The sequence below is a fragment of the Homo sapiens genome, chromosome Y (assembly GCF_000001405.40).
Source record: "Homo sapiens chromosome Y, GRCh38.p14 Primary Assembly".
Taxonomy (NCBI): domain Eukaryota; kingdom Metazoa; phylum Chordata; class Mammalia; order Primates; family Hominidae; genus Homo; species Homo sapiens.
This window is the reverse complement of record NC_000024.10, coordinates 22,935,714-22,948,575: the sequence shown is the minus strand read 5'-3', so window position 1 is coordinate 22,948,575 and position 12,862 is coordinate 22,935,714. Positions and strand designations below refer to the sequence as shown.

Genomic DNA, 12,862 nt, shown 5'->3' with positions numbered 1-12,862 from the left:
CCTGGTTAAGAGAATAGTTCTGTGAATAACGAAACCTCAGGCACCACGGTCTAAAGTAAATGCCAGTGGGGGCAATTTCCCTGGTTGACATTCCCCAGAAAGGACCATCTGGCTTAAAGGTTAGTTAATGGAGGTGGGGTAAAAAAACTTAATTGGGGAAGCCTCTATTGTCCTTAGCATTTACCCTATGACCAAATGCTTTAAGGTTAAAACCGACTACCTTCAGCCCCTTGAATTATTACAAGCTATGCAACCTTTCAGCCTTCCAAAAGTCTGTGACTATTCCCTATAACTTTCCCTAATTATTTTCTTTTAATATTTCTGCCATCCTCCTGAGTGAATCTCAAAATCCTCCTCTCTGTTCTTTTCTGCATCAGGTTTTTGATTGCAGAGCACAGATATGTGCAGTCATAGGTTTGTCAGGTGAGGTGGTCACTGATCTTATTCCAGCTTTGCATCATATAAATAGCAAATAACACAAAACAATCATGAGTATAATTAACAACACTTCTTCCAGTCAGAGTGACTTGCAGAGTTACTTGCCATCTGAGTTCACTCTGTGCTATTAATGAGGAACCTCACTGGGGGAATGTTGATTTCCTTTTATTTAAGCAGTGATGTTGTTAGAAGCTGGAAAGGGGGTGTTAGTCTAAGTACTAGGGTAGAACAAAGGAGGTTACAAGATGGGCTTAATAGAGCTTGGCAGATACAGGTAGTAGACAAAGTGAGAGAATAAAAAAGAAGCAGGATTTGCATAGCCTTCTGAGTCATCTTTCTCTGATAAAGCTGCATCATCTTGCAGGGTCTCTCCTAGGCTGGCTCGAGTTTTTTCTTCTTTTAATCCTTTGATGAGGATGCAGTGTCTTGGCTGGTGCTTGTGTATTGGAAATTGTAGAGATTGTGTCTGTGCTAAGATATCTCTCATAATCTTTGTTAAAGAGCAGGTTAGTGCTTTAAGAAAAACTTGTGCTTTTAATGTCTTGTTTACAGAAAAACTGGATGACACATCTTTTTTAAATTAATTTATTTTTATTATTGTACTTTAAGTTTTGGGGTACATGTGCACAATGTGCCGGTTAGTTACATATGTATACATGTGCCATGCTGGTGTGCTGCACCCACTAACTCATCATCTAGCATTAGGCATATCTCCCAATGCTATCCCTCCCGCCTCCCCCCACCCCACAACAGGCCCCAGAGTGTGATGTTCCCCTTCCTGTGTCCATGTGCTCTCATTGTTCAATTCCCACCTATGAGTGAGAATATGCGGTGTTTGGTTTTTTGTTCTTGCGATAGTTTACTGAGAATGATGATTTCCAATTTCATCCATGTCCCTACAAAGGACATGAACTCATCATTTTTTATGGCTGCATAGTATTCCATGGTGTGTATGTGCCACATTTTCTTAATCCAGTCTATGATTGTTGGATGACACATCTTTAACTTTAGTCAATATGTTTACTCAGAGAATTTTGTTAACAATTAACATTTTAAAACTTGCTTAGACTTTCAAAACAAAATTATACAACATGTCCTGAATAGTTTTCTTTTTATAATGTTTTTATGACTTCCACAGACAATTTTCAACATGCCTTAACTTTATTTCTTTCATAACCTTCCTTAATAAAGGTGCAGTCTAATGGTTATAACTTTCTTAACATTTCTTTCTCTTTATGTCTTTTCTTTGTCTTACTTTTTGTGACTTTGACCTCTGGTTTTTCTAGTCTTTCTTTTTTTTCCCCTCTATTTCTCTCTTTAACCTTTCTGTTTCTCTCTGATCTTGGACAGCAATTAAATGAGTGTTGGTATCAATAGATACTTGTACATATCTAAGTTTTCCAAATTCAAGTATGGGTGTAACATCTGTTTGCTATAGCAGGTTAAGTTCTGTTTCCCTAGGGTTAACACCTGTTGAAGGAGGGGACTTACCTGTGAGCTGGCAATCTGGGCATTGTAGGATAATTTATTTAGCCAGTCTCTGAGTAAGTTGATAAGTTTCTTCAATTTGGATGGAAAAATTCATGCGATTGGGTGGCTTGGTCTAGCAGTGATGGCTTAACCTGTAGGTTTGCTTGATCACTGCTCATAAGCCAATGGGCTAGGAAGTAAGCTGTGGGCTCAAATATGTGTAATAAAAATGGGACTTGTATGTTGATCTAGCCAATTGCTGAAGTTGGAGAAAGAGTAAACCGTCCTGGCTCCAGAATAGAGTTAAGGCTGTAAAACTTCTTTAATAAATAAACAGAGTAACCTTAGCTTTCTGTTTGCTAGTAAACTCAGATTGCATGATTGAATTATATGGTCTCTACCAGACTGCTGCTTTTCCATGTTTGCGGACCCATCAGTAAACCGTGTTAAAGCATTAGTTACAGGGGAGTAAACTCTTTTTGTAGGCATTATTACCGGAGTATGAGATAAGAAATGAAAGACTTTATCAGCAGGGAGGATGTGCTTTATTTGCTCTGTGTAATGAGATAAAACTATTTGTGGGTGTATTGACAAAGATAATGAAGCTTTGAATTGCTCTTTACTTAAAGGAATCATGATGATATCGGTTATGTCGCAACTGATTTTTAACGTTTGTGACCTGAATAGATGACTTTAGTAATTAACTGAGTATAAGGAGACAGTGTTTTAGTCCCGGTATGGGGGCAAAAAACCCATTCTAGGAAACATAGCCTGGGAGTCATTTGTCCTAGTAACCCTGTAGGGGAGTGTTAGGTGGAAAAAATAAATAGCTGATTGGAATACGGTGGATCAATGCGATCTAGCTTCCTTTGAAAGACGGCTTGCTCAATTTCCTTGATTTCCCTTTTTGCTGCAAGGGTTAAATATCTGGGAGAATTGAGGGCTGGGTTGCCCTTTAAGATAGAGAACAGGTTTTGTAGTTTATTGGTAGGAATTCCAACAATGGGAGAAATCCAGGTAACATTGTCCAATAATTTCTGCTAATCATTTAATGTGTGTAAGTTGTTAGTACTTAGGTTAAACTTTTGAGGTCTTACTGACCAGGAGATTAACAGATATCCAAGATATTTTCAAGGAGGGAACATGGGTACTTTTTCAGGTGCAGTGACTAAACTTTTCAGTTGTGTATTCCTTATGACAGAGGTAAACAAATTTAAAGGTATTGGCTCCGTTGGGGCTGCTAGTAAAATATCATCCATAAAATGAATAATCATGTAATCAGGAATTTTTTTTCTACTAGTTAAAAAACAAAGTTTGCTTTTAACTACTTCTAAACTAACTCATGGGTTGTTTGTAATGTCTCAACCTTTAAACGTTACTGTTTTACTTGAATTTGGTGAGCTTCATCAGGGTGGAAGAGAGATGACAACAGTGGAGGTTATTAGAAAGAGGTTTTCTAATTCTTACATTTTACTTAAATTTTAGCTGAGAACTATAATCTGTGATGTTGCTTGTAAACAAGCAGCACATGAGATTTTGTCTTGGATAGCCTGTGGAGTTAGAGAAAGGAGCAGGCAGGTCCCGGCGCTGTGACTGCTTTACATTTATAAAGTCGCCATTTTTGCCTGTGCCATTTTTTGCCTGTGCTGGCTCCCTTCCCCAGCTGTGGGACACATGTGGCCTGGGTGGAATTTGTCACGTGTGCTTCTGTTCCACTCGCAGCAGGCTAGCTCTGGCTGCAGCTTGGCTCTTTGTTGCTTCTGTCACAGTGTGGGTGGAGTTTTTCTTTCTACTTACTGCTTCCTTGTCCTGGCCCTGTGGCTCTGGCTTTTAGTGATTATTCTTAACCCTTTATGTACCTGATTACTTGGCTGATTTTGCATTACCGGGCAGGCTAATAACTCTCCTTTTATTGCTGCCAGCTGAAGACAGGGACTAATAACTGGAGGGTATTCCTGGTCCTTTTTCTTACGTATTGAAGAAAAAGGCTCAGGTAAAATATCTGTTTCTTCTTTGTTATTTTGGCTCAGTAATATTAGGGCTGACGGAAGAGGAGGTGATAAGGCAGGTGACATTTCCTCCTCGTTCCCCTTTATAGTCTGTTCTGTGTATAATGGAGACAGGGCTGCTGTAATGAAAGCCCATAACAGCTGGGACCTGTTGCCTTTGTGTCTGATGTTGAAGATTTATCCCCACTTGTTCTCAGAGTACTACATCCAGTGTTCCTTTTTCTGGGAACCATGATCTTGGGATTGTGTCCAGAATTGATTCCTTCCAGTGGGTTATTGGTCTTGCTGTCTTCAAGAAGAAGATGCAGACCTTCACAGTGAGTGTTATAGCTCCTAAAGGTAGTGCGGACCCAAAGAGCGAGAAGCAGCAAGATTTATTGCAAAGAGTGAAAGAGCAGAGCTTCCACAGCATGGAAGGGAACCAAAGCAGGTTGCTGCTGCTGGCTCGGGTGGCCTGCTTTTATTCTCTTATCTGGTGTCACCCACATCCTTCTGAGTGGTCCATTTCACAGAGTGCTGATTGGTCTGTTTTACGGAGTGCTGATTGATCCATTTTTATCCAGTGCTGATTGGTGTGTTTACAAACCTTTAGCTAGACACAGAGCGTGATTGGTGCATTTACAATCCTTTAGCTAGACAGAAAAGTTCACCAAGTCTCCTACCCAATTAGCTAGACACAGAGCACTAATTGGTGCATTTACAAACCTTTAGCTAGACACAGAGTGCTGATTGGTGCATTTACAATCCTTTATCTAAACAAAGTAGTTCTCCAAGTCCCCATCTGACTGAGAAGCCCAGCCAGCTTCACCTCTCAATCCCTTCTCTAAACAGGACATCTCAACTGCTGTTGGGAATTGGCCAATGACCTCTCTAGCTACTTCCTGCTAGATAGGGGCAAAGAATTATGCTGCAGTTGTAGTGTCCTCCAGAGGGGAACTCTTTAGGCCACGGAAAGGGCCAGGAGGTTGGTCCAGGGGTCCTCAGTAGAAGCTGTTAGTTGAGCTCATTTGGGGTTCCATTTGTAAGACCATCTCTAGGTTGATAGCCTCAATTCTAGAAGAAAGAAATTTGACAAGAAGGTTAACAATACAGGGCCCGAAGGCAAGTAATGGCAAGATGGCTGCCATGGGAGCTAGAAAGGGGAGGAGCCATGTTGCCCAACTCCAGAGGTTGGTATAAGGGTTTGAAAGATGTCTGATTTCAGAAGCCTTTTCCTGTAAACACCAGGCAGCATCTCGTACTATGCCTCACTGGTTAGTGTAAAAACAACTCTCTTCCCCTAAGAAGGTGCAGAGTCCTCCTTTCTCAGCAGTGAGGTGGTCTAGTCCTCTGCAGTTTTGGAGTGTCACTGCTGGTAAAGAATCTAGCTGGGATTGTAGAGTAAGGATAGATTTTGTTATTTCTCACAAACTATCTGAGAAATCCTTTGAGAGTGTGTGATGGTAAGAAAATGAAGTAGATAAACCTGCTATTCTGGTTCTTGTAGCAGTGGCCATTTCTAACCCTATAAGTAGGGGTATTAGTTGTATGGCCCTGCAATGATGGACTTGAGCTTTGAGGGGCACTGATAGGGCCTGATTTCCTGGGGCAATGTTAATGTTGGGACTTAGAAAGACTAAGGTGCAGGTGCCTGTCCAGTTAGTGGGGAGGCAGATATAGTTTGACATTCCACAGGAGAAGAATATGCCTTGGCTGGGTAGATATTTAGAAATTTACCCTGGCTTTTAAAGGAATAGGGTATACTGTTTTTTCTTTACTATTTCCATATCTCTTTCATTCTCTTTGACTTCTCCTTCATCTCTCTCTTTCTGTCTTTCTGACTCCCTCTTTGTCTGTCTGTCTCTTCCTCTCTCTCTCTCCCTCTGACTTTCTGTCTCTTCCTCTTTTTCCTTTCTGCTGGTCTTTCCCTGCCTCTGCCAGCTGCTTATGCTACTGTTCTCCCCTCTCCTTCCCCTTTTGATGGCTTTGGCAGTGTAAGAGTGCCATGCCACCTCCGTGGGTTTTTACACTGTGTGCAATAACTCCATGATTTCCTTGTGGCATTTAATGGGGGTTTCCCCAGAGGTTAGGAACTCCCTTTCTTTCCATATTGCAGCATGGGCATGTAGGATCAGATGAGCATACTTGCTATCTGTATACACATTTATTCTTTTTCCCTTTCCCAGTTCTAAGGCTTGGGTAAGTGCCAGTATTTCTGCTTACTGGGCTCTGGTCTCTAGGGGAAAACACTTACTTTTAAGTATAGTTACATCACTAACTATGGCATAACCTGCCCTTTGTATCCCATTCTTCACAAATGAACTTCCATCAGTATATAGGCTAAGGTCAGGATTACCTAAGGGGACTTCTAAGAGATTATCTTGTGTGGCATAAGTCTGGACGATAATTTGTTGGCAGTCATGCTTGATTGGATCCCCATCCTCTGGGAGAAAAGCGGCAGGGTTGAGGGCCATGCATGTACATATTTGAAGCACCAGTGCCTCAAGGAGTAGCACCTGGTATCTAAGCAAGTGGTTGTCTGATAGCCATAAACTTCCTTTGGCACCTAGTATGCCATTTACATCATGAGTAGTCCAGACAGTGAGATCCTTTCCTTGTATTATTTTGATAGCCTCTGACACTAAGACAGCCACTGCTACAGCTACCCATAAACAGTGAGGCCAGCCTTTTGCTACTACATCCATTTCCTTACTTAGGTATGCCACTGGTTGGGGGATTATTCCACAAATCTAAGTAAGAACTCCAAGAGCTATCCCTGCTCTCTTGGTGACATATAAAGAGAAGTTTTGTCCTGTGGGAAGGCTTAAACCGGGAGCCTGTACTAGCGCCTGCTTTAAGGTTTTAAAGGGTACTTTTGCCCCTAGTTCCCATTCTACTAGATGAGTATTTACCCTTTGGGTCTCCTTGATTACCGTACAGAGTGGTCTGGCCATCTTGCTGTATCTGGGGATCCATAGTCGGCAAAAGTGGGTGGTTCTAAGGAACCCCCGCAACTGTTTTAATGTCTTGGGGTGAGGATAAGCCAGTATTGGCTGTTTTCATTCCTTGCTGAGGGCCCTGGCCCCTCTGGCTAAGATTAGGCCTAAATATTTGACCTGCTGTAGGCAAAGTTTGGCCTTTGACCTAGACACCTTGTACCCTTGATTAGCTAGAAAGTTCAAGAGATTTAGACTAGCCTGCTGGCATGAGGCTTCCAAACCAGTAGCCAAAAGTAAATCATCCACAAGCTGAAGGACCAGAGTCCCTGGACATGACAAGTGGCCTAGATCTTGGGCCAGTGCCTGACCAAACAGATGAGGGCTATCCCTAAACACTTGAGGCAAGACGTTCCATGTAAGTTGGGACGTGTGATCTGTGGAATCCTCAAAGGCAAAGAGAAAGTGGGAGTCAGAGGCAGAGGAATACAGAAGAAGGCATCCTTGAGGTCCGGAGCTGTGAACCATTCTGCTTCCTCTGGTATTTGAGAGAGCAGGGTATAGGGGTTGGGTACAACTGGATATAGAGGAATTACTGCCTCACTGATGAGTCTAAGATCTTGCACTAGTCTCCACTGACTGGGTTTTGGTCTCCTAGAATTGGAGTGCTGCAGGGACTGCTGCATTTCCTTACTGAGGCTCAAGATTTTAAATGTTTAACAGTATCCTGTAATCCTCTATGAGCTTCAGGCCTTAAGGGAAATTGCCTTTGATAAGGAAAAGTGGTGGGATCTTTTAGCCTGATTTGGACTGGGCAGGCATTTTGCCCTTCCAAATTGTCCTTCCAATGCCCAAACTTCAGGGTTAATTCCCTCCTCAAGCCACAGACAACAAATGGGTAACTTGCTCCCCATATTCATGTAGATAATAGCTCCAGCTTTGACTAATATATCCCTCCCTAATAAGGGTGTGGGACTTTCAGGCATATTAAGAAAGGCATGTGAAAAGAGCAAAGTCTCCCAATTACAACTGAGGAGTTGGGAGAAATACCTGGTTACAGGCTGTCCCAGCATTCTTCAGATGGTAACGGATCTTGAGGACAGTCGTCCAGGACAGGAGATTAACACCGAGAAGACCGCATCAGTGTCCAGGAAGAAGCCAATTTCCTGGCCATTAATGGATAAGCATACCCATGGCTCAGTGAGGGTGACGACATGAGCTAGCACTTGCTCCAGGCACCCTCAGTCCTGTTGTTGGATCCTCTGGTTGGGGTCTTCTGGCCCAGAGAACCATTGTACTCTGGGGCAGTGCACCTTCCAGTGATTGCCTTGACATAGTGGACGTGGACAAGGGGGCAGCTTGTTTCTTATTGGATGATCTTTTTTTTTTGAGACGGAGTCTCGCTCTGTCGCCCAGGCTGGAGTGCAGTGGCGGGATCTCGGCTCACTGCAAGCTCTGCCTCCCGGGTTCACGCCATTCTCCTGCCTCAGCCTCCCAAGTAGCTGGGACTACAGGCGCCCGCCACTACGCCCGGCTAATTTTTTGTATTTTTAGTAGAGACGGGGTTTCACCGTTTTAGCCGCGATGGTCTCGATCTCCTGACCTCGTGATCCGCCCGCCTCGGCCTCCCAAAGTGCTGGGATTACAGGCGTGAGCCACCGCGCCCGGCCTGGATGATCTTTTTTTTTAAGTGTCCTCGTAAACCACACTGATAACAAGCCCTACCGGGTGATTGCCCTGCTCCCTTTTCTGTCCTCTCTGAAACACCAAGGTTTGTTTGTCTGAGGGCCATGACTAAGGCAGCAGCATTTCTCTGATCTCATTTTTCCTTTTGGGCCTGTTCCTCTTGGTCCCTATTATAGAACACCAAGGTTGCCAGGTTTAGTAATGCCTCCAGATTTTGTTCAGGGCCCAGGGCTTGCTTTTGGAGTTTCTCCTGATGTCTGTGGCTGATTGGGTAATAAACTTATCTTTTAGAATCAATTGACCCTTGAGTGATTTGGGTGACAGGGCAGTATATTTTCTTAAGGCCTCCCTTAGCCACACAAGGAAGGCAGAAGGATTTTCTTCCTTTCCCTGAGTTATGGTGGATATCACTGAATAATTCATGTGCTTTTTCCTAATTTTCCTTAGTCCTTCTAGAACACAGGTGAACAGATGTTTATGACTCTTGTCCCCATGATCTGAGTCAAGGTCCCAATAGGGATCCACACTGAGAATGGCTTGCCAACCCGTAGGGAATTTTTCCCTTTCTTCAGCTGTCATTCTATCATTTACTTGACTAAGATACAAGGTATCTCCAAACTCTCAGGCTAAAACTAAAGCCACATTCTTTTCATTAAAGGTCAGGGTTTGATCTACCAATAGCATGACATCTCTCCAAGTGAGATCGAGGCTTTGCCCTAGATCCTGTGGGACATCTATGTACCTATCAGGATCATCTGAAAGCTTTCCCAGGTCTACCTTGATCTGCTTTAAATCAGAGAGGGAGAAGGGGACATGTACCAAGGTTGGGCCAAATTCCCCTCTCCCTAGAGCTTGAAGGGGATGTAATCGATAGCCCGGGGAAGGGTTGTGTTCCTTTGGAGATTTCTTTGCTTGTTTCCTTCTGGGCAGGGGAGATTAGAGGAGGCTTATCATTAATAGGAAGGGGAGCTATAGGGAGGCTAGGATATGCAGGTAAGCTGAGTGTTCCTCCTGTGGGATGTAAATTGCAAGCTTTGCATAGTTTTGTATTCTCCTTCAATGAAAAGAAAACTTGGACTTAAGGTATTGCACTCCTTTTGCCTTACCTCTTACAGAAAAGGTCAAGCTACAGTATAGTATTGTAAGTTATATTTCTCTCAGGTGGCCATTTTTCCACATCAGAGAGAGAATATTGGGTCCTGGCCATAGTGCAGAAAAAAATAAGCCACCACTTTTTCAGGGTTTGTGGGTAAAATTGGTCCCAATGGCTTAGGATGCATTGCAAGAGTGGGTCTGTTAATGCCTGAGTGTTTCCCATCCGAAAGAGAAAACGGCCCACTCTTTTTGTTTGTTTGTTTCTCCACCTGCCCAAGAACCCACAATGGATCCTGGACCCTGCTGATCAGAATAGTTGTGCTCACTGATGCAGCAGCAGAAACACTGGTTTTCCTCCTGGACCACAACAAAACCTGCAGCCTTGCCTGTCCACCCAGACCACAAAGAGGACTGAGAAAAATCGGATTTAGTGGCCCTTACTGACATATTCTCAAAAACCTGTTAGAGTCCTAAGCATTATCCTGTTAATATTGGGAATTTATCCTTGTCCTATAAAGATGTTATGCCCCAAAAATGAAGTGGAGGGCCATACCCTGAGGGAGGGAAGAGATCACCAGAGTCAGAAGAGTGATGCCTTTTGTCCTCACTTATATGAATAAGAAAGATACAATTTCTGAGGCGTCCCATATCCTAGCTTCAGGAATAGGTTTTGTTAAGCCTGTTTGTCTGAGGAGGGATCCTAAAATTCCAGATAGTCCCCCTTAAAATGGGGCTTTGGGCAAAAATTCTCTCTTTCTGATTGCTGAGCCTGAGTGCCAGGAGAAGGGAATAGAGTCCTGGAGTTTATACCAGAAATAGTTCTTACAGGAGAAACTAGAAAAGCACCAGAGACAGGGAGTGGTTTTTAGAAGCAGGACTAGCCTCAGAGAACAGAAGCAAGAGGAAGATTGTCTGACAGGCTTTAGGACCCAGGAGGCAAGGCTCAGGATAGATAGGATAGATGGGAGAGTCTCGCTTGGGCGACATGACTAAGAGTTCCGCCATGGCTGCAGGGTCAACCAATTTGTTGTTGGGACCATGGAGCTGAATGGTTTTCCTATCAACCCTCATCTCAGCCCAGAAGTACAGGGAAAGTGGAAGCTAGTTCCATGCAAACCAACACTCCCAACTCCGAAGAGTTGGGGTTGCTAGAGAGCCCTTTCCCAGAAAGCCTGGCACCCATGTCTTTAGTTCAGTGACCAAGCTAGTTGCTTTTAACTGGCTGACAGGTGCCTGCTATTTAGCCCTAGAATTCTAAGGAAAAATAGGACAGAATAGCAAGCACAAGGGGTCGATGGTACTCACTGCTTGGCAATAGGCAATAGTCCCTTTGTGGTCACCAAAGTGTGTCTGGAATTGATTCCTTCCCATGGGTTCTTGGTCTCACTGACATCAAGAATGAAGCCATGGACTCTCACGGTGACTGTTACAGTTCTTAAAGACAGTGTGTCCAGAGTTTGTTCCTTCAGGTGTTCATGGTCTCGCTGACTTCAGGAGTGAAGTTGCAGACCCTCACAGTGAGTGTTACAGCTCTTAAAGTTGGTGTTTCTGGAGTTGTTTGTTCCTCTCAGTGGGTTCATGGTCTCGCTGACTTCGGGAGTGAAGCTGCAGAGCTTCACAGTGAGTGTTACAGCTCTTAAAGGTGGTGCATCCAGTGTTGTTTGTTCCTCCCGGTGGGTTTGTGGTCTTGCTGGTTTCAGGAGTGAAGCTGCAGGCCTTCATGGTGAGTGTTACAGCTCATAAAGGTAGTGTGGACCCAAAGACTGAGTAGCAGCAAGATTTATTGCAAAGAGCAAAAGAACAGGTCTTCCACAGTGTGGAAGGGGACCTGAGTGGGTTGCCACTGCTGGCTGAGGTGGCCTGCTTTTATTCCCTTATTTGTCCCCACCCTCATCCTGCCGATTGTTCCATTTTACAGAGTGCTGATCGGTCTGTTTTTAGCAAGTGCAGATTGGTGCATTTATAAACATTTAGCTAGACACAGAGCACCAATTGGTGCATTTACAATCCTTTAGCTAGACAGAAAAGCTCTCCAAGTCCCTTACCTGATTAGCTCTACACAGAGCACTGAGTGGTGCATTTACAATCATTTAGCTAGATAGAAAAGTTCTCCAAGTCCCCACCCCACCCAAAGCCCAGCCAGTTTTACCTCTCAGGATTACAACAGTTTGCATTATGTCCCCTAATTGAGCCTGCAAAACTGATGCTCCACTAGCCTTAAGCAACTGTTTCAACACTTTTATATACTGTTTCTGTTGAGCTGATAAATGTTGTCCCATGAGAATACCTCAGCTTGACCCAACTTCTCCCAGAACTTGGTAACCTCGAGTGGGCACCAATGACTTACTGATTAGTCACTGACTTCACCACGTGAATTCTTTTTCCACCTTTGCTTTCAGGGAGTCTGTCGCATTCCTCACTCTTCCTCTACAGCTTTCCTCATGAGGGTGGTTCTCACACTTCCTTCACAGACTGCCTCACACAATGGGCTCCAACTGCAGACCTGGCGATGGGTGAATAAACTACCTGACACACAGATATCCTGCTTTGCCAGCAGCAGAGGGTCCGAGGCCACTCCCAGACTCCACGGAGAGTCCTGTAAAGAATGGAGGCCCACCCTGAGCAACTCACCCTCCAGGCATTTATTTAGTATAGAATTAATCACAGAAGCTTTGAGTAAACACACTTGTGGATAATTAACATTGTTAAGAGAATAGTTCTGTGAATGATTAAACCTCAGTTACCACAGTCTAAAGTAAATACCATTGGGGGCAATTTCTCTGGTCGAACTCCCTGGAGAGAGCCATCTTAGTTAGTGGAGGTAGAGTAAACAGACTTAACTGGAGAAGCCTCAGTTGTCCCTAGTATTTACCCTATGACCTAATGCTTTAAGGTAAGAAGAGGTTGCCTTCAGCCTGTTCAATTATTACAAGCTATATAATAATTTTAGCCTTTTAGCCTGCCAAAAAGGTTTGTTACTATTCCTTATAACTTTTCCTAATACTTCCCTGTAATATTTCTGCCAGCGGCCTGAGTGAATCCAAACAATTAACATCTAAAGAAACTTGCCTATTCTAACTCTTGAAAAATAGTATGCTCAAGAATTTGTCTAGGTTTCATGTATATGCAGATATACTAGTTTTCTTTTGGTTTTTACTTCCAGTTATATTTTATTGTAGTCAGAAATAATATTTTTTGTGATTACCGTCAGTTTAAATATGCTAAAACTTGCATTCTAGCTTAAAAGTT

The 12,862-nt window shown here is 43.4% G+C and overlaps 1 long non-coding RNA gene across 1 annotated transcript in view; it reads right to left on the bottom strand.

The window, feature by feature from the left end:
* TTTY4 (testis expressed transcript, Y-linked 4) overlaps positions 1-12,121 on the bottom strand; it is a 36,830-nt gene extending 24,709 nt beyond the window's left edge. The window contains exon 1 of the long non-coding RNA NR_001525.1: positions 11,961-12,121. This is a non-coding gene — a long non-coding RNA (testis expressed transcript, Y-linked 4). The remainder of the gene's footprint in view (positions 1-11,960) is intronic.
* Between the last annotated feature and the right edge of the window lie 741 nt (positions 12,122-12,862).